The sequence below is a fragment of the Homo sapiens genome, chromosome 5, assembly GCF_000001405.40.
Source record: "Homo sapiens chromosome 5, GRCh38.p14 Primary Assembly".
NCBI lineage: Eukaryota > Metazoa > Chordata > Mammalia > Primates > Hominidae > Homo > Homo sapiens.
In genome coordinates this window covers 172844721-172868690 of record NC_000005.10, presented here as the reverse complement: position 1 = coordinate 172868690, position 23970 = coordinate 172844721, and the positions used below count along the sequence as shown (strand labels likewise).

Genomic DNA, 23970 nt, shown 5'->3' with positions numbered 1-23970 from the left:
CTTGACATCAGGGGTCACTCTTGGTGTTGTACATTCCTTCGGTTTAGACAAATGTCTAATGACACGTATCAATCACTGCAGCATCACACACAGTTTCACTGCCCTAAAAATCCTCCGTGCTCCGCCTATTCATCCCTCCCTCCCGCAACCCCTGGCAACCGCTGATCTTTTACCGTCTCCATAGTTTTGCCTTTTCCAGAATGTCACAGAGTGAAAATCATATGGTATAGAACCTTTTCAGATTGGCTTCTTTCATTTAGTAAGAGGCATGTAAGGTTCCTCCATGTCTTTTCACATTTTTCTAGCTCATTACCTTTCAATCCTGAACAATATCCCACTGTCTGGATGAACCAGTGTGCTTGGTATTTCAATCCCCACGGATTTTCAGAGCCAGGGGCTCTGCTGTCTCATGCATTAGCTGCATGACTTTGGACAGATTTTTCTCTGAACCGCCAGTGTTTTACATCTGTAAAATGGGGTTAAAATACTGCTTACCTCACAGGAGTAAGGATTAAATGCAGAAACGCATGTAAGGCTTGAATGGCAGCTCCCAGCACGTAGCAAGCGCATGGTGGATGTGAGCTGTGATTATCATCATCGCTAGCGCTGCGACTGTCACTACATTCCTGAGCTTTCTATGGCTTCTCTCTTCTGCAGAGCAGCATGGAGGGGAGTAGAGACAACCCAGCTTTCGGCTCAAATCCTGACTCTGCTAAGCAACTGGCTGAATCTCTTGGAGCCTCAGTTTACTCATCAGTAAAATGGGGAGGGGCATTACGTCTCCCTCCTAGGGAGATTTTGAGAAACAAATGAGATCACAAATTGAAATGTAGAAAAAACCCTTGGCATTCAGTAGGTGCTCAAAAAAGGTCAACTGCTCACTGTGAAGGAGAGGTCCTCTGTGCTTCCTGTGAATAGCCCTGCTGAGCGCAGAATGCAGGGAAGGGAAATGGTGGGTATATTTGCAGATGGAAAGGGAAATCTAGACCCACTGCCCAGCACCAGGATTGAGAGCCCCTCTGCTGGTTCATGCTAGGGCAGAGAGAGAAGGGAGAGGTGAGTGCCCTCCTGCCCAGCCCAGCCAGGACCCAGAGGACAGGGGGCGGCTAGGACTCGGGGGTGGAGTAACACCTCTGCAGTGAGCCAAGGCCTGCCTGGCTGTCTTCTTGGTGTCAAATGACGGCAGAGGCTGGAACACTGAGGCAGTGGCCAAGGCCAGCCAGCAGTTGTTCTTGCGGCCTCCAAGGAGTGGAAATAGGGACAGGGAAAAGTTACGGGCAGCAGCCAGCAGTTCACAGCAGGTTCTGTGGAATTGCTGGGGCTAAGCAAGGACTCCTGTGCTCTCCTATGAATCGTCCTTGGCCTTTCATCCAAACTGGACCTGCCCACCTGGGAGGTCCACCACCCCCGCCTGTACCCAAAGGGATCACACCCTGACCATGCAGTGTCAGTGATGCCAGGAGGGAGGGGCTGCCAGCATCCCCACTTTCCAGGTAGCACGATAAAGGTCACCCAAGGTGGCATTGCTGGCAAGCACTGGAGGTGGAACTCAAACCCTTGGCTTGCAGAGCCCCCACAGCCTGAAGCCAAGCCAAGGTCTGCAAAGACTCTGCATGGCCACTGCTCTCCATCTGCATCATCTCCATCTGCATCATCTCCATCTGCATCATCATCTCCATCTGCATCATCTCCATCTGCATCCCCTTTCATTTCCACATTCATGCATTTTTTCATGCATTCATTCAGCACCTGTTCTGCAAATATCACTAGCACCTGCTCTGCTAATGATAAAAATGGGAGCCAAACAAAGGCAGTCTCTGCCTGCCTGGAGCTAGAGTCAAGAAAACCTCCACTGAGAATGCAGAGTTACAGAATGAGATAAGCATCGGGGAAGGCCCCTGGGCCGCCCGTGCCTCCACTAGACAATAGACTGGAGAGTATACAGGTGGTGAGCCTGGAGCTGCCCTTTCTGGGTTCAAGTCCCAGCTCTGCCACTTGCTAGCTGTGGCCTCGGGGAATTCACTTCACTGCCCTGTGCTTCAGTTTCTCAGGCTGTCAAATAGTGCTCACTTCGCTGGCTTGCTCAGAGGGGGTTCACATGTTAGTACAGGGAAAAGGCTTAGCACAGCGCCTGGCCCCCATGGGGGAGTGCTTCCCCTGTGACGCAGCTGCAGGGTGTAGGGTACATGGAGGACCACAAGCATTTTCTTCCCAAAGGAGAAGCTCCTTCTCCCCCACAAATCCCTCTGAAGGCTGCCTCTGCAAAGAGGTGGCACCAGTGGACACAGGAAATTAGGCCAGAAAGAGGGGCACGGTGCATTCCCCATAGGTCCAAGATGAGAGAAAAACCAGGGCAGCGGCAGGGGCCCCCACCAGATCATGGCTGCTGAGGGCTGTGAGCATCTCCCTCCCACACCCACCTCCCTCCGCTTCTCTCCCCACTCTGCTCTCCTCCTGCCTCTCCCCAGTTGGCCTTTCCTTCTGGACTTTGCTCCAACTGTCTTGACCTCTAGAGCATGGAGCTGAGGTTCTGAATCCCAGAAACACTTGGAACATTTAAATTAAAATTTAATTGGACTCGGCAATACCAAATAAGAAAAAGAGAGTTTATACTCACTCAAAGGATCTGTTAAGAAATTGTACATAGGTAGTACAAATTTACCAACTTGCATGGGAAGGATAAATACCACATTTAGGAGAGTATTTCTCCTGGGATGGGATGGAGATGGGTCAAAATGGAAAGTGCAGACAGAAGAGGAATATAGGGGCTTAAGGTTTGCTTCTCAGGATGGGAGGTGGGTGTGATTCTATATGATTCTATATGTCCAAAATAGTCTATGAAATAAAAAATAAGCTCAAAAGTACCCCAATCAGGTACTATAACAATAAAAAAGAATGAAGCACTGATCCGACCACATGAATGAATCCCACAGATGGGACATGGGATGAAAGAAGTCCAACACACACAGATCAGATCATATGATTCCACGTGTGTGACCTGAAGAACAGGCAAGACTAAAGCAAGGGGAGGGAAGTCAGGAGATAGGTCACCCCGTGGTGGGGGTGCTGGCTGGGAAGAGGCATATGCAGGAGCTTTCTGGGGTACTGAAAGTGGTGTGCACCTTGATCTGGGGGTGGCCACATGGGGGTATCAGGTAAAAAAGCCATTGAGCTGTATACTTAAGATAAGAACACTTTACAATCTGCAATACCTCAATTTAAAAATTCCTTAAACATTTAGAAAGAAAGAAAACCAAGTCATCAGCCACATTTGGGAACCCTTTGCACTGGCTTATGTTAATATTAAAGAGACTGTTTTAGAATTTCTTTCTATAGGCCAGGTGCGGTGGCTCACGCCTATAATCCCAGCACTTTGGGAGGCCAAGGCGGGTGGATCACCTGAGGTCAAGAGTTCGAGACCAGCCTGGCCAACATGGTGAAACCCAGTCTCTACTAAAAATACAAAATATTAGCCAGGCATAGTGGCGGGCGCCTGTAATCCCAGCTACTTGGGAAACTGAGGCAAGAGAATTGCTTGAACCCAGAAAGTAGAGGGTGCCGTGAGCCGAGATCGTGCCATTGCACTCCAGCCTGGGTGACAGAGTGAGACTGTCTCAAAAAAAAAAAAAAAAAAAAAAAGAATTTCTTTCTATAGCAATTTGATATTTGATTCCTTCATTTGATCACTTCCTCTGGGAAGAGCGTTGAGCAAGGCTTTGCAGCAGATACACAAGGGAACTGCTCCAAGGCCTCAAGGACATGAAAATAAGTCAGGCTGACCCAGGCTGGAATCTTAATTTGCTCTTACTTGCTGTGTGAGCCGGGCTTAAGTGATGTCCCTCTCTGAGACTCAGTGGCCTGATACGCAAAACGTGGTTAGGACAAAATGAGACAGTGTTCAGCACTGTGCCCAGCATATAATAGGTGCTCAAAAAAAAAGGGGGGGGGACATGTTAATATGGTTCATGCTTTAACCCTCTACAACAATGTTTTTACCAACTGCAGATGACGATGACTAGTGAGTTAAAAAATCAAAGTAGTAGATTGCAACCAGCATTTAAAAAAAAAAAGACAGCCCCTATATTCCTCTTCTGTCTGCACTTTCCATTTTGACCCATCTCCATCCCATCCCAGGAGAAATACTCTCCTAAATGTGGTATTTATCCTTCTCTTGCCTGTAATCACTTGAGGCCAAGAGTTTGAGACCCAGCCTGGCCAACAGGGTGAAACCCCGTCTCTACTGAAAATACAAAAATCAGCCAGGTGTGGTGGTACGTGCCTGTAATCCCAGCTACTGAGTCTGAGGCATGAGAATCGTTTGAACCCTGGAGGCAGGTGGAGGTTGCAGTGAGCTGAGATCATGCCATTGCACTCTGGGCTGGGTGACAGAGCAAGACTCCAAAAAAAAAAAAAAAAAAAAAAGACTACAAAATATTTATTGTCATTGTGTGTAGTAAGAGAAGAACCGTTGAGGTGTTTGTTTGTTTGTGTTTTGAGATGGAGTTTCCCTCTGTGGCCCAAGCTAGAGTGCAGTGGCGTGATCTCAGCTCACTACAACCTCCACCTCCCGGGTTCAAGCGATTCTCCTGCCTCAGCCTCTCGAGTAGCTAGGACTACAAGTATGCACCACCATGCCCAGCTAATTTTTTTGTATTTCTAGTAGAGAGAAGTTTCAGCATGTTGGTCACGCTAGTCTCAACCTCCTGACCGCAAGTGATCCGCCCGCCTCTGCCTCCCAAAGTGCTGGGATTACAGGCGTGAGCCACCGCGCCCGGCCATGTTGAGTTTTCATGTATTGTACACTGGGTTGTGATATAAATGTATTTCTTCAGAGAGTAGATGTCAAAAGCGATTAAAAGCCCTGGCCTGTTGAGCCACATGCAGTGCTGTGACACAGTAGGTACCAGCTCCGTGTGACAAAGCCCTGCTCTCGGAATTAAGTCAGAATAACAACATACCAGGAGGATAATTCTAACACCTCAAAGAAAGTCACACGTTTGGTTTTTTTCTTTCTTTTTTTTTAAAGAGCCAAAATGCTATGAAGTTGAGAGATCAGGGGCAGCTGCCTGGAAGAAGTGGCTTCAGATCCGGACCAACAAAAATGCTGACTTGAATTCCTGAAAGAGAGAGGTGGGCTGGGCCACGGGAGGACTCCTGGCCACTCAGCCTGAAGGTGCGGCTGATCGCGCCCAAGGGTCCTTTGTCTCCTGGCCGTCAGGAAGGAGGTGGGTGGTTCTGGGAGGCTGCGCAGTGGTGTACCTGAGACGGTTTTAGGTGGAACCCAGATTGGGCAGCAAATAACACAAATCACCCACAGAAGAAGTGATTATTTTTCCACTTTTCTTTCAATTCTCATAATCGAGTTTAGAAAAAAATCTCATTTGGTACTAGTAGGTCTTTTTACACTTAATAATCTCACTTTTTAGTAAAAAGAAGACTAGGCCAGGCACGATGGCTCACGCCTGTAATCCCAGCACTATGGGAGGCCGAGGTGGGCGGATCACTTGAGGTCAGGAGTTCGACAGCAGCCTGGCCAATATGACGAAACCCTGCCTCTACTAAAAATACAAAAATTAGCCAGGTGTGATGGTGTGCTACCTGTAGTCCCTGCTAATGGGGAGGCTGAGGTTGCAGTGAGCTGGGATTGCACCACTGCACTCCAGCCTGGGTGACAGAGGGAGAGTTCGTATGTATGTATATATGTGCGTATAAATAAATAGAAGGCTCGGCTTCAGGCACAGAACTGTCTACCAGCAATAGCTCTGTGCTAGAACTTTCATCTCACTGCTTTGACTTTCACAGGTACCTTGGACTCATGGCAGGTGATCCTGGTCTTCCATTTTAGAGAGAAGGTAAATTGTTTGCCTTTTAAAACTCATCTATGCAAGCTTTTTAAAAAGTGAGTCCATTTAAATAAAATACAAAGCATATAACAGTAGGAGTAGATGTAGGTGTGGCACAAACTGTGACAGTAGCCCTAGAGTGATTGAAATTTGAGAAACACTGGTAAGGACGTCCCAAATTTGAGGTTGGGGAAGTTTTTCATATCCTGACATCAATAAGTAGCACTAAAGGACACATTCCCTGCTGAGTCAGTAGAGAACCAGGCTCCCTTCAGGAAGAGAAAAGTCAAGGCTGGCCAGCCAGCTTGCTGTGGAGAATTCTTCAAGGAAAAGGGATCTTACAGCTGAAGGGCATCCACCTTTGTGCTCGGGAGTGCTCACCACCATTGCCATCCTCACCACTGGGCCTTTCTATAAACACATGCCCATTTGTGTGGTCTCGATGGTGTAAGGAAGTCTCCACCTACATTTTCCTCTACTGCACTTCCTTATCTCCCCCCTTATCTTGTGCCATCTTTTTTTTTTTTTTTTTTTTTTTTTGAGATGTAGTCTCACTCAGTTGCCCAGGCAAGGTGGCTCACGCCTGTAATCCAGCACTTTGGAAGGCTGCGGTGGGCAGATCATTTGAGGTCAGGAGGTCACCAGCCTGGCCAACATGGTGAAACCCTGTCTCTACTAAAAATATAAAAATGAGCAGGTGCAGTGGCATGCACCTGTAATCCCAGCTACTCGGGAGGCTGAGGCAGGAGAATCGCTTGAACCCGGGAGGCGGAGGTTGCAGCGAGCCGAGATCATGCCATTGCACTCTAGCCTGGGTGACAAGAGCAAAACTTCATCTAAAAATAATAATAATAAAATTAAAAAATAAATAAATAAATAAAAGTTCTTGGCAGGAATTTCTAAACTTTCCAGTGGACAAAGCGAGGCCTTGAGGTAAACTATGTCTTTCTACGTTTCTACTGAAAAGTAGTCCACACTGCAAAGGGCTTCTTCCTTTTCACTTCCTCCTCTTTTCTTTTCTGCCCTTACCTTATTCTGCCCCACCAATCACCCTGAGTTTTAGAGCTGGGGAGCACCAGGCTATCCTGGCAATGTCAAAAAATAGAGCTATGCCGTGTACACTTTGTCTAAACAAGGCCAGTAATTCACACTTGGGCTGACACACGCATTATTTACCACTTCCTAAGTACCTACTATGTGTCAGGCACAGTGCTGGGTGTCTTGACCCAAATAACATGCCTTTCGTCTTTACAGCAACGTTAGTAGATCAGTGTGATGCTTCCCATTTTACAAATAAGGCAACTGAGGTTCATTCATTCAGCCAACGAGTAGTCAGCATCCACAAGTGCCAGGCTCCATTGATGGCACTGGGGCAACAGGCATGAACAAGACAGGCAAAGCCTGCGCCTCTGAGGAACCGAGGTTCCCATGGAGGGGACAGATAATAAACAAGCCAAAGGGAGATGGGACTGTTCCAGAGGGTGGGAGGAGCTATGAAAGAGAACACGTGGGTCTGACAGAGCCGGACAGAGGGCACTGCAGGCTGGGTGAGGTCAGGGCAGAGACCCGAGGGAAGGGAGGGAGCCACTACGCCAAGTGCCTGGGAAGAGCATTCTGAGCAGAGGGAATGGCCAGTGCTTGGCCAAGACTCTGAGGTGGGTGTGTGGCTGGCCTGTGTCAGCAGCAGCGGTGGCCACTGCGGCTGGCACGCAGGGAGGGGCAGGTGGCATGGGACGAGGTCAGCGAGGCGGATGGAGGACACATCCCACAGGCCCTGCAGGCTGGGGCAGGACTCAGCTTGTTTTCGGCGGTGGATTTGAAGCAGAGCGCAGAGTGCCCAGGAGGGTGGATGAGTTTCACCCAGAGTGACCCCAGGCAGTCAGTGCCAGGGCCGGTCTCCAGCCGAGGCTGGCTCAGCCTACATCCGCTCTCGCCGGCCCTTCCTCCCCACACAGTCCCAGCCTAGGTTCTCAGGCAGAGCTCCAAACACTGTGGAACTCTGGCTATGGAATATGTTTTTGTGCTCACAAAGAAACACAGGCGTGGCTAACACCCTGGACTCCTTCCTCACACAAGATCATTCAGAAGCCCCACCATGGATCTGCAGCTCCAAAAGGACTCAAGCACCAGTCCCTCTCCTTGTCCTGACCCCAGGACCCATGCTTGGCCCCAGCCCAAGGGTGGCTTCCTCCCAGACACCTGCTGGCCCAGATTCTGCAGCAAAGCCTCAGAGAAGTCTGTTTCTTTCACGGTCACAGCTCTGAGGCTTGCACACACCGCTCCCATCCCTGCATCCAAAGAGCTCCCGTGCATGCAGTGAGGTGCAGTGGTGAGGGGGGCAGATGCAGGAGCCAGGAGGCCTGGGTTCAAACCCCAGCTCTGCCCTGGCTCAGGCAACGCTGGGCAGGTTAAATAACTTCTCTGTGCCTTGGCTTCCCAATGTGTAAGTTGTTCCTAATGACTGGTTGTGGGGATGAAGCATGTTAACAGATGTGAGGGGGCAGAATGGTGCAGGCATAAAGAGAACCCTATTCAGGGCTGGCTATGATCATCACCATCACCAAAGTCCTTCAAGGTTGCCATACCTCTCCACGCCCTCCTGCCCTCCTCTGCTAGTTCCCCGTCAGGGAACTGATGAGCCCACTTGAGCGCACTGCCTCACACACCTGAGCTACCTGAGGCTGGAGACATGTCTTGTTCACCTCTGTCCCTGCCCCTCCCTGGCACTGAATCAATGCTGTTCGGTGAAAGAATGAATAAGAAATGAACAAACATATAGGAGCATGGGATGGTTAAATATTTCTTCAAAGGTAAGATTAAAAGCTTGAAATTACTCAGGACAAGTACTTTCTACAGAAGCACCTCTGGCAGAGCTGAATAATTAAGAAAAGGCCTGTAGGCAAAGCACAGCTTAAAGGCAAGAAACAGTTGGAAAAATAGAACAGAGCTAACCCAGCCGACAAACAATCCAGAACCCCAAAGTACTGACTGTGGAGTTTGGAGTTAGAGAAACCGGGCTTCCAAATCCTGAAGCCACCACCTATGGGCCATGCTGTGGTCTTGCCAAGGCCACTGTGTACAGCTGGGCAGGCTGTCCCCTGTCCAAGGGCACCTGCGGAGGATAGCAGCAAGGGCTGCAATCCAGCCCAGGCCCAGCACATGAGGTGTGAGGGCTACGGAGGGCTCCAGGGGCCCCTTTAAGGTGATTCCCTCAGAGGTGGCAAAGAAGTGACCAGCAGCACCAGGCACCTGCGGCAGCTCTCTGAGCCCCAGTTTCATCCTGCTAAGTGGAGCCAATGAGAGCAGCCACACTTCAAAGGCTTGGGACGGCACTGTGACCTTCAGGACATTTTTTTTTCCCACCCTTCAGTCTGGAAGCAAACAGAAATGGGGGAAAGCTAATTCCAGGATGGAATATGGCCTTTTCCGTCAGCTGGGAAGGGTGATAAGGAGGCGGCCATGGGAGTTGGGGGTGGGTGGGACATGCCCCATTCACACGGAGCTCAAAGGTTCTGGCCCTAGTGGAATGTGGCTGGGTGTGGGGCTGGGCCTAGAAGCAAAGTTCCTGAATGACCAGCTGGCCAGGCCGGGGCCTGGTCCCCTCTTGGGAACCAGCACGGCCAAGAGCAGTGTCTCATCAAAACAGGAAAAATCATAGAGGAAAAATGTGCACGTAAGGGGACTGGCATGCACAGGGAACGACATGACCCAAGCACCAGGAGGAGGGAAGGGGCTGGGGCAGGTGCACAGGGGCATTTAGGGGAGCAGAGCCCTCCCCGGTAAGGGCGCCGATGACGACCCAGACCTGGGAGATCCCAGGAAGCTATGAAGGTAAGTCTGGGCTAAGAAAGCCTCAAAATCACGTCCTCAGCACAGCTCCCCCAGCCACAGGCCTTGTAGCTTTTGACCACACAGACCTTTTGACCTGGTGTGACTGTCCAAAGTACTTCAAACAGTAATCTCCCCCGTGTTACCCACAGGGCAGGGAAGCATGGACTTTGGCCCCAAACATCTGGCTGGCAGGGGCCTTGGAATCTTGGGCAGGGCCCTCACAAGCTCCCAGCCCTGTTTTCTTTCTGTGGACAACAGCGGACCCCCACCCATGCCAGCGGGGGGCTGGTAAGGTCAGCCGAGATGATGAACTTGGGTCTGCCAGGTACGCAGTAGGGCCTATGCTAACAGCCTTTTCCTCGTGTCCTCAGAAGCGGCCTGGATTAGAATCAATCATCAGGGCTGGATGCCGGCAGAGGACTCAGTGAGGGCCCCTCTGCCCCACCCCGAGTGTCTATGACTTTCTTCTGTGTCACCGCCCGGATTCAGGACTAAGTGCAAATTGTGAGTTGTTCCTCTAGCGTGTGACTGACGAGGAAGGGCCTAGTGTGCAGATGCGCAGACCACCGGCCCCTTGCTCAGACACTGCCCGAGACCCGGAATGGGTCCGCTCTTCCCTTCGCATCAAGAGTTCGTGAGGATCTGCTCACCACCCTGTAAGGGCTGAAGCTTCTTAGGATAAACTCCTTACGGTGTTTTATGCAGCTTTCATGGTCTGGCCAGCTGAGTCCTCCAGCCCTGGCACTCCCCAGCTCTCTGTCCAGCAGCCGCTTCAGCCGGCCGACCTGTGACCTCCCACCTCAGGGCCTTTGCCCATGCTCTCCCTCCACCTGGGCCTCCCTGCCTCTCAGTGGCCCAGTGAACCCTAAGCACCTTTCAGACAGCCGTCAAATACCACTGCAGTCAGGTTCCCCCGATCCCCTAGAAGACGCAGGCCTCACAGCCCCCTGCTTTTCTCCTTTATAGTCACATGTCAACTGAGAATTATACATTTAATTGGATGTTTAATTGCTGAAGCCCAAGACTCCATGAGGGCAGGGGCTATATCCCTGCCGTTCACCACCGAGTCTCGCAGTGCCTGGCACAGTGACCAGTATAAATATTTGTAAATGTGTCAGTGAGTGAATGTATGAATGAATGAGCGAATGAACAGCCTGGGGAGATGAAAAGTGAAAAGGAAGGCAAAGCAGAGAGCAGATGGGGAGACCGATTTTACTCCTCTCACTCCAGGAACCATAACGTAAGCTGTAAGACAAGAACCCGGGGAAGAAGCCAAGTTCCATGGAAGAGGGGTGCCTGGGGTCCTGGGGCCACGTGAGACCCCAGGAGGAGGGGTTCCATGACCACGTGGCCATGGCTGAGCCCTTATTGGCAGGTGCACTATTCTCATTTTGGCCTCACACAATGCTTAAGGGTGGGTGGGGGGGGCACCATTATTAGCCCATTGTTACAGGTGAGGAAACTGAGTCCCAGGGCGGTGAAGGACCTGCCCAAGGTCCCAAAGCCAGCAAAGGGTGGGGCCAGAGCTGTGACTGTTCATTGCTGCACACAAGGCAGTGAGTCCCAGGCTCAAGAGAAGTCTCCTCCCGCAGGCATGTCTGCAAGGAAGGAACGCATATTTATAAGCATCTCCTTGAAACTACTGGAGCAGAAATGTGTACTCCTCTACTGAGGAAGGATGGTGCATGGCAATGAATCGAACCATTCCAGGGATATCACCTGAGACCCTACCTCAGCTACGTCCAATGCCAAGCGTCTCAGCCCCATTCATTTCATCCTCACAACAGCCCTGTGAAGCAGTCACTAGCCCCATTTTACAAATGAGGAAACTGAGGCTTCAAGAAGTTCCCCTTATTCCTAATTTAAGATACATAAAACATGGTGGCCAGTCTCTTTACCGTGTTATTTGAATGAACTTCAGCGTACATCATGTTCCTAAGGTCTACTGGTGGCCTTGGGGCCCCAACACTGTTTTTCAAAAAGCTCTTGAATTCCCCAGCTGTGAATTTCTTGTTGTGGGGTTTCCAGGGGCCCCAACCCTTGGCTACCCCAGTGCTGTCTACAGGCCTGCAGTATGCTTCAGGCATTTTGTATGCACGGCTTAATTACGTTTCACACAACCGTGAGGCAGATTACTGCTTCTCCCACCTCATAAATAGGGATACTGAGGTGCAAGGGTAGGAGGGCAAGGCTACAATCCATTCTCAGGTTGGTCTCCACAGTCTGTCTTCCGTCTCCATGAAGGTCTGATAAGGCGCAGTCATCTCAGCAGGGAGAACCCTCCCCTCACAGCCTTTGGGAACCATTCTAACCCATACCAAAAGACTTTCGGTGCTCCCTCCTCTAAGCTGTAGGGAGCTTTTACATTCACTTGATCTTATTTTTCTTCCTGAGCAACACGCATGCTCAAGAACCTGCTAGGGCTCCCCAGTGCCTGAGGCAGCACAGGCAGCCCCATCTCACCTGCCCATTGTATCCCCCGCTCTTTCCCACCTCCTAGCCTCTCATCAGGCCGCAGAGCCCTTGGCTAGAATCCCTTCACCTCTACTGACTTCACTCCAACTCATCTCTCAAGTGTCCCTCCTCCAGGAAGCACCCTGATTCACTCCCTGCCTGTACACATTTTGCCATTTGCTTCTCTTCCAGTCAAGCACTGTTCCATGCATGGCCTTGACTCCTCTCTGGCCTGACTGACCAAACCTCACCTTTCCAACAGGGCTCTTTGCTTCTTGTGAGTAAGTTTCAAGTCCACCTGCCTGGGCCTGGCGTTCCAGGCTGGTCACAGCTTCTCCAGCCTGGCTGCCAACCCAGTCTCTCTCTCCAGTCCAGCCTCTCACAGGAATGACGTGCTGCCCACCCCTAGGGATGCAGGGATCACTGACAAGGCGCATGTCTTCCTCTGGCCTCAAGTGCTTCAGGGTCTCTCCTGCCAAGAGACCATACACTGAGTCACCAGTCCATTGTCTTTTTTTAATTGAATGGGATGTGACTTATGATTTAATAAGTGACATTTGATGAACTAAAGGTCGACATTTTCAAAACATCAAGTCGATGTGGAAAATGTGAATTAAAGAGGCCTCTTGGCAAAAAGACTGGACGCCACAGGAGCTGACAGTCGCTGGCCTGGCCCCCGCCGGGCTGCACCCAGGCCAGCCTCTGAAGCACAGGCTGAGTGGGCCGCTCACAGCCCACATGGAACCTGGCTCCCCAACACAAGGCGTGGCCTCTCTATGCTGAGGACAGGGCACACTCCTCACCGTGCCCGAAGGCTCTGCCTGCCTGGTGCATTCCCTCATCAGTGTACCACGTGCTGGACGGGCCTGGCTCCCTGCCCCAGCACCAAACCAGCTCTGCTCCTCACTAAGGCCTTGAGTTGAACATCGTGGGGAGGACCTCCTCGCACCCCACGCAAGGCTGGATCAGAACATCCCCAGAGTTCCCTGGATATTCTCGCTGGGAAAACTCTTGATCCTCCAACTGTCCATCTTCCCTGTTTAAGTGTAAGCCCCATGACAGTGGGGACCATGTCTGTGGGGTCAGCCAGGTACTCCAGCCTCAGCACAGGGCGCAGCACATAGTAAACATGCAACAGACATCTCTTACATGACTGAGTGAGCAAATGGGCCAGCGAGGTCCTGGTTAGGCCCGAGACCATCTCAGCAGAAGGGCTGTGGGTGGAGCCCCCAGCAGAGAGGTATGGGGCGTGGAGCACCTCAGGGCCATGTTTGCTGGGTCCAGATCAGGTATGGAAGACAGGTAGGCATGCTTCCTCTCCCACCCCCACTGCTCTCCTGGAAACCAGCGTCATTGTTCCCACCCGGCAGTGTGTCCTGGTGTTCTGGGAAATGCCACTCCAGGGAGGTGGTAGGTGGTGCAGTGACCTGTGACATCCCAACCCACATCCACCACTGTCCGTTGGGGGAACACAGCCCAGGTAGGTGTCTGAAGGAGAGCTGAGTCCATTTCAGGAGCCCCAGAACCCTGGTAGCTAAAAACCTGTGTGAGTCCCAGGTGGCCCCTCAGTACAGCAAGGCCTCACTTAAGGTTGTTGGTAGGTTCTTGGAAACCATGACTTTGAGGGAAACAGCAGAAGATGAAAAACAATTTCCCCACAGGCTAATGGATATAAACAAGACTTAAGTTCCTAAGGCATATTTCTGGTCACAAAAACAACACCAAACTTCCAAATAAAGATCAAAACACTTCTACTATTAGACATTAAAATACATGTGAGCTGTACATACACTTAAGAAAGATTTGTCAAAACAAGTAAGATCACTGTTTACTCACTTATTCCAGTTCCAAGTCACGGGTGGCCAGAGCCCATCCCAGCTGCTCAGGGAACAAGGCGGGAACCGGCCCTGGCCAGCACGCCCTCCCATCGCAGGGCACACACGCCCACACACCCACACTCACCCACACCGGGACCATGCGGACGTGCTGATGAACCTGACAGGCACAGGTTTGGGATGTGGGTAGGTGGGTGGGGGTGCCTGCAGAAGAGCCACGCAGACGTGGGTAGAACGTGCAAACCCAACAGACAGTGGCCCCAGCCAGGAAATACTTTTTTTTCTCATCAATGTTTTATAACAAAACATTATTCAAGGGTCTGCTGTAGTTTCTTTTTTTGTTGTTTGAGACAGTCTCACTCTGTTGTCCAGGCTGAAGTGGAAGTGGCGTGAACACAGCTCACTGCAGCCTCAACCTCCCGGGCTCAAGTGATCCTCCCGCCTCAGCCTCCTGAGTAGCTGAGACCACAGGTGCAGGCCACCATGCCCAGCTAATTTTTTTTTTTTTTTGTAGAGATGGAGTCTCACTATGTTGCCCAGGCTGGTCTCGAACTCCTGGACTCAGGTGATCCTCCTGTCTTGGTCTCCCAAAGTGCTGGGATTATAGGCGTGAGCCACCTTGCCCTGCCTGCTGTAGTTTAATCTCTAAAATGGGGGTAGAGCAACCCTGATTCACCATCCTGTGAAACTCCCACTTCGAAGGAGATGAGCAGATACACTACTGTCAATTATGCACATGGATATCTTTTTGGATGTTTCTGAAATTGCTTTTGTAGTAAATCCCATGTGGAACAATAGCAACAAACCATTTTATTGAACTCTCCAGGAATTCCACTATCCCAAGTGAGATAAACGAACTGATCATGGAATTTTCACCAGGCCCCTTGGAGGTGGGCACCACTCTCTCCAGCTCACAGCTGAGAAAGCTGAAGGAAGCCCAGGAAGCTGATGCAATTGCCCCAACTGAGCAAACAGCAGGGCCAGAGCACACTCCCAGAACTGTAAGGCCCAAGGCTCCTGCTTCTGCTTCCCACTCTCCTGACAACGCAGCTCCTTGGAGAGGCTGCTTAGAACACCAAGGCCTGGACCCTGATTCCCACATCCCATCCTCCGGGGCGGGGGGAGATGGGAATCTGCATTTTAACCAGCACATTGCCCCCAGCCCCAGTTGCGCAGACTGACTCTGTAAGCCTCGAGTTTCTCATCTGTGAAATGGGCCACTCCTTCCCTACAGGGCTGCTGTGGGGATCGAGGCAGGGAAATGCTAAGTAGTCATTTGGAAAACAGCTGAGAGGTACCTGGCAGAAGGCTCCACTGAGGAAGATGCCTCTGGGTGGCCTGACCAGCTCCTCCACCTCCACCCCCACCACGGGAGCCGTTGCGGGTATGCAGGGATTTCCAAAAGCCAGCACCCAGCACGATGGGGGCCGCAATGGGGGCTGTGGCCAGGACTCCTGTGGCTGCTTCTACTGGAGGCAGGAGCAGACCTAGGAGCCGCTCACCAGTCACTGGGGCTGCTGGGGCCAGGGACATCATACCACATGGCATCCTGCGCAATACCTTTCCAGGCAACAACAGCACGTGGTAAACCACCTTGTGGGCCTGCAGCAAAGGCATGAACACACAGTTTCACACATTTGCACACTCATATCTACACATACACACAGGCGCTTCTTGGACAAACAGGGTGACTTTCCCCAGAGATCCCCTCCCTTGGCCAAACCCACATGCCCTCTCTCCCCTGGGCTATTACTGCCAGGGAGTTTAGGTGAGGTGAAGATTCCAAAAGGACAGCTGTGACACCGTCACCCATGGGGCCAGAGTCCTTTGTGGGAACCTGCGTCAAGGTCCACACATAGAAATGCCTGTGCAAACCAAACAGTCATCACAGCCACATGTGCTGAGCACGTCGCATGGCTGCGTGCCATGCTGAGTGATGTACACGTTATCTCACTGAAACTCTACTGTCCCCCAGGAGGAAGGTACCATTACCATCCCCGCTGATGACACGGTAAGTTGTTGGCAAGTCAAGAGAGGCTTCAAGTAGGAGAGCTGAGGTTCAGACCCAAGAGGAAGACCCTGCTCATTTACTATTCAACACTTTTTTTAAAAAGGGCTTTCAGTGTCCTTGGCCCTGGGGACCTGGTAGAGAACAAGGCTGAGCCGGTCTCTGCTCTCATGTCACTGACGGCCTATGAGGGGCTCTGGAGATCAAGCTCTTAATCACTGGTCTCTACTATTTCCCAAAGGCCAGTGGCCCCTTTCAAAAGGGAGACCTCCCTGCCTGGGTCCCTGGCATCCACTGTCAGCAGGAAGCCCACTAAGAAGACTGTATGAGGAAGTGTCTGAGTTAGAGCCAGGAGACCTCTTTGACTTAACATCAGCCAGCAGAAACCAGCTCCTGCAGGCTAACAAGCCCACAGAGGGCACCTGGGCAGACCCTGCCTGCGTTTTGGAAAACGAAAAGCTGCCTCTGGGCCTCACTCTTTTCAGCTCTATCCATTCCCAAGACCATCAGGGGATGGCCTTGATGGTGTCTTTAAGCACAGGGCTCAAAGTGGGGGTACAAAAAATGCAACACTGACACTCCCTCCCAATCAAATCATGGCAATGCCCCTGGCAATGCACCTGATGCTTTGGCGGTCTCCTTTTGGCTGGTTCACCCATTGACAGGTAGAGGCCTGATCACCGTCAGAGTCCCTGCCTGGGATTTCCAGACACAGGCCTGTCTCTCCAGGAACCTTTAGAAAGACATCTCTCAAAGACGATCTCGGGCAAATCTCCTACTTGGGATGGACTCATATGAGCTGCTGACATGAGTGGAGTGCTTACCATGGTGCTTACTAACAACGCATTACTCTTGTTTTGCAAATGAGAAAGTGGCACAGACAAGTCAGTGACTGGCCCAAGGAGCTGGTAAGTGGAGCCCTTTTACCCAGGGGCATCCAGACTCTAAAAGCCACCTCCTCACTAGATGGAATTAAGTCAGTCACACTGGAAGACTGTCCTCATGTCTCAGAGGGGTCCTCGGGCACCTGAAGCCCCTGAGGTGACCATACCCCCCCACCTCCCTGTCTAGGCCTGCAACCTGATCCTGGCTCTCACATCTCCCGCTTTAAGGTCCCAGAGGTCTGCCCAGCAACAGCCCTGGGCTGCCATGTGGCCACTGAGGTCCATTTTTCCAGATGCATTGGAAATCCAATTTTTTTATTTTTTATTGAAACGGAGTCTTGCTCTGTCACCCAGGCTGGAGTGCAGTGGCGCAATCTCAGCTCACTGCAACCTCTGCCTCCGGGGTTGAAGCGAATCTCCTGTCTCAGCCTCCTGAGTAGCTGGGACTACTGGTGCATGCCACCATGCCCGGCTAATTTTTGTATTTTTAGTAGAAACGGGAGCTCACCATATTGGTCAGGCTGGTCTTGAACTCCTGACCTCAGGTGATCCGGCTGCCTCGGCCTCCCAAAGTGCTGGCTTTACAGATGTGAGCCACTGTGCCTGAATTTTTAATTTTTTTTTTTTTTTTTTTTGAGACAGAGTCTTGCTCTGTTGCCCAGGCTGGAGTGCAGTTGTGCAATCTCGGCTCACTGCAAGCTCCACCTCCCGGGTTCAAGGGATTCTCCTGCCTAAGCCTCCTGAGTAGCTGGGATTACATGCACATGCCATCATGCCCGGCTAATTTTTTGTATTTTTAGTAGAGATGGAGTTTCACCATGTTGGCCAGGCTGGTCTCGAACTCCTGGCCTCAAGTGATCCGCTCACCTCAGCCTCCCAAAGTGCTGGGATTACAAGTGTGAGCCACCGTGCCCGGCTGGAAATCCAAATTTTTATGTGAAATATTTTCATTCAAAAATGCTGACATAAAATTCAATTTTTTAAAAATGTGAGGGCCAAATAATCACATTTGTGGGCAAAACTCAACCTCTGATGCCACCAGTTTGCAACCTCCGCTTTAGAAGACCAAATGTGTCAGGAAATTTCATAAATGCAGGAAGAAAAGAGGGGTTCGACACTGAAATAAGACCTAGGGCTATATGAGGCTCTTGTTAACTCTACACAGCAGCTGCTTGGGGTCAGGGTTGTATCCCCATTTGTAGCAGAAAACAGACTCAGAGAGGTGAAGTGAGCTGCCCAAGGACACACAGCGAGTGGGTGGGAGCACTAGGATCAGCACCCAGGTCCACCAGACTCCAAAGCCCTAGGCCTCTCCGCACTACACGGTGCCCACCTCCCTCTACTCCCCCGAGCCCTCAGCCCAGCTGTCCCAGGTCTGCCTGGCAGCATGGAACAGTGCCTCTAGAACAGCCAAATCCCGGGTGGCTGACTTGTCATGCTCTGGTGAGTGTGGGGCAGGCGGAGGCCCAAGCAGGATGACGTGCCTGTGTGGCTCCACTGTGAGGGGCCTGGCCCAGGGTGGGGTGGGGTGGGGCAGGGAGGGGGCGGGTAGGCGAACCTTCTCATGCCCTCCTTTGACTCAGGGTTAACTCAGCTCTGACCAATCACCTGGCTTCAAGTGTGACCCAGTTTTGCAGCTTGGCCAACGGAAGCCAAATTGGGGAAAGTCAGGCAGGCCCGAAAGGTGGAACCAGCTCCTGCCACCTGGCTTGTTGGGTACATCAGGGCGACACTGAACCCATCCTGGGACCCTTCCAGCTTCCGTGTTTACTAATTCTAATCAGCACACGACGTTGACACACCCAACACTAGATCAGATCACGCCACCTCGGTTCTCTCACCTGTAAAATGAGGCAAATAAAAGCCCCAACTTGATGGGTAAGAACAGAAGAAGATGATATTTATAGTTTGTAGCACTGCTCCTGATACCCCAGAGATGCTGAGTGAATGTTTTTACTTCTACTATCACCACCTACCCACCCCTGTTCCCCTGCAAATGTCTAGCACTGACAGCTTCCTTCCTCCCTGCCTTCCAGAAACAAGTTGAGTGCAGACAGCGTGGGTGAGGTCTTGTGCTATGCACCAGGACAGAGAGGAGACCCACAGCTGCTGTCATTGGGGGTATGTGAGGACCTAACATTCACCAAGACACATATGACTCCTGCCATCAACTGGAAAACGTAAGGGATTCAAATTCAGAAGAGCTGCATTCCTGCAGGTGTGACCCCCAACTCTCAACCCCCCAAAGCCTCAGCTTCCTCATCTGCAGAGAAAACAATGATCCCTAGAGCACACACATCTTCAAGGGCTTTCTGAAGTCTTAGTCCCATCACTCGCTTTTGTGATGGTCATTACTAGGTTAACAAAGATTTGTGGTACCCAGTTCCAGAGTTACGCTGGGAACATAATGGGGGAACCCTTATTCAGGGTCTCCCCAGCTTGCCTGACCCTAAGAATCACTGAAGACACTGGTGAAAATGCAGATTCCCAGGCCACCTGAATCTGACTCTCCCGGATCCGCACAGGGCCCCAGGTGATTAGGGAAACTGGCCAGTTTGCTAGAGAGAGCACAGTTGCTCAACTCAAAAACAAGCAACTAAGATTTCCAGGGTTAGGTGATCTAACTGAAAGCATTACTTTCTGGGGGTCGGAAAGTAGAGCTAGGGCTTGGGTTTGTTACTTTGCCAGAGGTATGACCCTGAGCCAGGTCTTCAACTTCTCTCGGTCTCCATTTCCTCAAAATGGGAATAATTACAATGAATCCTAATGCCCAGGCAGGAGTGAAGGTGGAATGTCAGGTGTCTTCTCCCGGCTGCCTTACTCCTGTTCTGGGGACTAACATGGCTTCAAGCAAGGGGAGCTGGCACGTGGTGGCCTCCCATCAGGATAGGTAGTGGGCCACCCACCCCTCCTTCAGGCAGGGCCTCAGTAATGTCTGACTTCCCAATTCCTCAGGACTCGGTCAAAATAAATTCTTTCAGATGCACTTAGGAGAAAACTAGAAACATTTTCCAAACACAAAGGGATATAGCAATGAAGTCCTCCATTCTTGCGGAGGTGAACCCCTCTGCCACATTGCAGGAGGGTCTCAGCTGGACCCTTCCTCCCTGTCTCTCTACTTCCTTCATTCAGTCAATATTTACTGACCACCCACAGTGTGCAGATGCTGGCTCAGCACCAGGATCCAGTGATGAACACATAGATATGGCCCCTGCTCTCGAGGACTCAGACTCCATAAGGAAGACAGACACAAGATGACAAACTGCACAAACAAATCACTGCAACTGTGCTAATTGTGCCAAGGGATCTGAAGGACCTGTCTAGGTGTCATAAAAAGGTGCGGCCAGAAAAGGGGTGGCAGATGACCCAAGTTAGGTTGAAGAGGCAGTCTGGGAAGATCTTTTTTGAGGAAGAGTACTAGTTAGCCAAGCTAATCCAGTGAGCTCCTTCTCTATAAACTCTCTATCGCCCCATCTACTTTGCCTTCCTTCTCAGCACTCATCACAATGGAAAATAACCACTTGTGCAATGATTTGTTCCCTGCTGTTCTGCCCATCTTCCCCAATAGCCTGGAACCATCATGAAGGTGGAAACAGTGTCTGTCTTGTTTTCCCCCAGAATCCCTCCAATAAATTTTTGATGGAGGGAAAAAAGGAATGAACCCTACTTCCCTGGTGGTTAAATGACATCAGACCCCACCATGAAAAAAGTTATTCCCTGTTCAGCTCTCTTTTGAGTATGCTCAGAATATCAACGAGAAAGCCTCAGGGTGGCACTACTATGTCTTCAACATCTCCTCTCTCTAGCACTTGCTAATATCTCTTTTTTAACAAACCCAGCAACTTCACCAGGCACCAGATGCTCGTGAGAACCAAACACATTGCAATTATTTGTATCAATTTACAGCAGGAGCTATTGCTTTTCCATTTCCAAAGATGTTATAAGGTCACCTTTCATCAGTAAAAGTGTTAAGTTCAAAACCTGATTAATTCAAAGAAAAAATATTAAGTAAATAACACATGTGGCCGGGCGTGGTGGCACATGCCTGTAATCCCAGCACTTTGGGAGGCCAAGGCGGGTGGACCACGAGGTCAACGGATCGAGACCATCCTGGTCAACACGGCGAAACCCCGTCTCTACTAAAAATACAAAAATTAGCTGGGTGTGGTGGCGCGCACCTGTAGTCCCAGCTAACTTGGGAGGCTGAGGCAGAAGAATCACTTGAACCCGGGAGGCAGAGGTTGCAGTGAGCCGAGATCATGCCACTGCACTCCAGCCTGGCGACAGAGCAAGACTCCCTCTCAACAACAACAACAACAAAAAATATATATATATATCACATGCTGTTTAGGAATCTGCCAAAAATTATGATGATAGTAGCAGAATAGTGGAAGGGTAAAAACCACTGATTTCAGTTGCCATGGTAGAGACATGCTTATTAACATGCTCATGAAAGCACTTTCTTTCCTCTTCCTCTGGGCACACTGCTAGACTGTATTTGCTGACCTCTCCTGCAGTTAGGTGTGACCAGGTCTCTGAGTTCTGGACAAAGGAGTGTGAGCAGAAGTGATGGCCCCACATCTTGACCTGCCACCCAATTGTCCCCATCCTCCTTTCTCTCCCCACCACTGCCAGGCCAAGGAGAGGATCCAGCACACCCCAGAGGAGGACAGAGCCAGAAGACGCAAGGAGTCAAGGCCTCTGAGTACCCAGGGGGAGCGGAGCACCCCATCTTCTGCTGGGACTTCATGAGCAGTCATCAAGTCCCAGCATAAGTTACACTGAGCAAAAAATAAACGTGTGTTGCATTACAGCACTGAGATCTGCAGGTTGTTTATAGGAATTAGCTGACTTAGGCTAACACAAAGGAGGCATCTCTAGTCCAATTTCCTGCCCATCCATAAATCTTCTCTGACAGCCTGGATATCCTGGTGCTTTTTTCTGTAACGAATAGATATCAAGCACCTAACAGATGCCAGGCACAGTTCTAAGGGCTTTACAGAGGCAAACTTATTTAGTCCTCACGGCAGTCAAGAGTCACATCCTGAATCCACAGCAATGAGCTCCAGACAGGCCCACCACTGTCTACTGTAAGGGACTTAAAAGACTCTGGGTCAAGTCTCATGCTCACCTCTTAAAACACTTTCCTGCGCCAGGAGAAACCTTCCTATTCCTTTGAAGGTTACTCTTATGACATGGTTCCTATAGCCCTTCTTATTGGCTCTTCTTACAAAGGGCACAGGGCATAATCCAAAGACTGTGGAGTGGGGACCCAGATCAGCTGCAATCCTAGCTCTGCTGTCTCCCAACTCAGAGCCAAGACAGTTCCTCCTACCATGCAGGTGTGTAATGATGGTGAAATGAGATCATGACTATAAACCACCTGACATCAGCCTGGCACAAGGGGCAGGCCAGGGAGGACAATGGGTTCTTACAAGCTCCTTCTCCTGCCCCATCTTACGCTGCTGGGCTCAGAAGTGACTCAAAGTGCCCAGTGCTGGGCGTCCTGCACAGACAGCGCAGAAAGAGGCGCTGTTAAGTCACGTAGCATCACACAAGGGATTCTAGATGCTGGGAGTCAGTCCACTTCCCTCCAGGAGGGTCACTTTACAGGAATGATGGGTGCAGGGGATTGGGGGAGGGGGAGAAAGACCACCAACCCAAATGAGGACTTAACCAGGTACTGAAGGCCGACATCGCCAGAGAGGTCAAATGGATGCCATGGACCCCCATGGGATGTGCTGAGAAGGGCGCTTCACCTCTGGGGATGCTTCCCCAAAACCATAACCCTGTCCACTTAGGAAGAAACATCAGACAAACCCAGGCTGGGGACATTCTACAGGATGCCTGGCCTGTCTTCCTCAAGGCTGCTGAGGTCATAGAAAACAGGGACCGACCGAGAAACTGCCCCCACCCAGAGGAGCCTGGGGACACACAGGTTCTGAATGCAAATGTGGGACCTTCGATGGGATCCTGGGGTGCCATGAGGACATCAGTGGAAAATGGGCAAAATCCAAATAGAGCCCAGAGTTTAGAGAATAGTCATGAGCAAAGGTCAGTTTCCTAGTGGTGAGAATGTGGTAATGGAAGGTGGGGACCCTCGCGGAATGGATGTAGGGTGTCTGTACTAGCTTTGCAGCTTTTCTGTAAATCTCAGCTATTCCAAAATAAAAAGTGTATTTAGTTAAAAGAGAGAGAGAAGCAAAATACCAGAATTAAAACATGAATTTTAAATCATGAGTTGCAGGGCAGGGGTTGTCTGTTTGGCTCAGCACTATGTCCCCAGCTTCTAGAATGATACCTGGCACACAGGCCCTCAATCAATGTGTTCAACCAACAGATGACTCTATGGCCCAGCTGCTCCTGGTCTGTGGACAGGGGCCCTGGGGACTGGCCAGAGCATCCTCCGGCAAGAGGACCAGCCCTGCCCGCTGCCCACAGGAAGTGCTGCACGCCTTCCTGGCTCCCCCGGCAGGGGCTCAGCATAATCTCTCGCCCACAGATGCACAGGCTGGTAGGAAATGGTCACCAGGCCCGGCCTCCTCTCCAGCAACCAGGGCCCCCCAAGGCTTCCACTTCTACAGTCTGTTGCCCCCAAGGCAACAGACTGTAAACACAGCTGAGTAGATGGAGGGTATCCACGGAGGGGTTGCAAGAAAATCAGGGTAACAACACTCCCCTCCTGGGGCGTGATACTGGCTAAGAAAGCCAGCTTTGGCACAGAGACAGGCACTTGGGACTTAGCGGCATCACCTGCTGTTTGTGTGACCTCGGCCAAGTCCTGTCCCCCCTATATACCCCTGCGTCCTCCTCAAGAAGATGGGAATGGGAAATGGCTCCTACCTGACTTGAGGATGCACTGAGGGAATCCAAGAAAAGCCTTTAGTCTAGCACTTGATAAGCAGTGACTATTGTGGGCACTACTGTTGTCACAGCATAGCCCTGGGAAGTCACCTGAAAGACACCCCGGGGACGAAGGTATTGAAGGATGTGCAGGAAGGGTGTGTCACTCCAAAAGGACCTGGGCCAGCCCTAGGATCACCAAAGAGGACAGCAGGTCCAATGGCAGGGGCCAGTGGTGCCATTCCCACACCATCAGAGGAGGGGAGCCCCAG

General features: G+C 51.0%; 1 protein-coding gene across 11 annotated transcripts in view, besides 6 other annotated features; it reads right to left on the bottom strand.

Moving 5' to 3' along the window:
• ERGIC1 (endoplasmic reticulum-golgi intermediate compartment 1) overlaps positions 1-23970 on the bottom strand; it is a 118433-nt gene that overhangs the window by 83993 nt on the left and 10470 nt on the right. For 6 of the 11 annotated variants that reach the window (XM_011534597.2, XM_047417406.1, XM_047417405.1 and 3 more), the window contains exon 1: positions 13965-15473. The exons of the other annotated variants lie outside the window; for them this stretch is intronic. In XM_011534597.2, the coding sequence (XP_011532899.1) occupies positions 13965-14056 (92 nt within the window). In that variant the 5' untranslated portion in view covers positions 14057-15473. Of the gene's footprint in view, positions 1-13964; positions 15474-23970 lie in introns of those variants that run through there. 11 annotated transcript variants of the gene reach the window in all.
• Positions 5174-5675: an enhancer, noted in NCBI's record as "H3K4me1 hESC enhancer chr5:172290019-172290520 (GRCh37/hg19 assembly coordinates)". NCBI's record gives its function as "activates a minimal SCP1, AML or CMV promoter by ChIP-STARR-seq in primed H9 embryonic stem cells {active_cell/tissue: H9 hESC(primed)}" and the evidence as "EXISTENCE:reporter gene assay evidence [ECO:0000049][PMID:30033119]".
• Positions 8523-9523: an enhancer, noted in NCBI's record as "H3K4me1 hESC enhancer chr5:172286171-172287171 (GRCh37/hg19 assembly coordinates)". NCBI's record gives its function as "activates a minimal SCP1, AML or CMV promoter by ChIP-STARR-seq in naive H9 embryonic stem cells {active_cell/tissue: H9 hESC(naive)}" and the evidence as "EXISTENCE:reporter gene assay evidence [ECO:0000049][PMID:30033119]".
• Positions 10185-10362: a silencer, noted in NCBI's record as "fragment chr5:172285332-172285509 (GRCh37/hg19 assembly coordinates)". NCBI's record gives its function as "represses an EF-1alpha promoter that drives an FKBP-Casp9 reporter gene in an ReSE screen in phorbol 12-myristate 13-acetate-treated (for megakaryocytic differentiation) K562 erythroleukemia cells {active_cell/tissue: K562(+PMA)}" and the evidence as "EXISTENCE:reporter gene assay evidence [ECO:0000049][PMID:32094911]".
• Positions 13404-13905: an enhancer, noted in NCBI's record as "H3K27ac hESC enhancer chr5:172281789-172282290 (GRCh37/hg19 assembly coordinates)". NCBI's record gives its function as "activates a minimal SCP1, AML or CMV promoter by ChIP-STARR-seq in naive H9 embryonic stem cells {active_cell/tissue: H9 hESC(naive)}" and the evidence as "EXISTENCE:reporter gene assay evidence [ECO:0000049][PMID:30033119]".
• Positions 17955-19154: an enhancer, noted in NCBI's record as "P300/CBP strongly-dependent group 1 enhancer chr5:172276540-172277739 (GRCh37/hg19 assembly coordinates)". NCBI's record gives its function as "activates an origin of replication core promoter dependent on BRD2, BRD4, P300/CBP, MED14 and CDK7 cofactors, with strong dependence on P300/CBP, by STARR-seq in HCT116 cells {active_cell/tissue: HCT116}" and the evidence as "EXISTENCE:reporter gene assay evidence [ECO:0000049][PMID:35650434]".
• Positions 18387-18456: a silencer, noted in NCBI's record as "silent region_16630". NCBI's record gives its function as "represses an Ori minimal core promoter by ATAC-STARR-seq in GM12878 lymphoblastoid cells {active_cell/tissue: GM12878}" and the evidence as "EXISTENCE:reporter gene assay evidence [ECO:0000049][PMID:35858748]".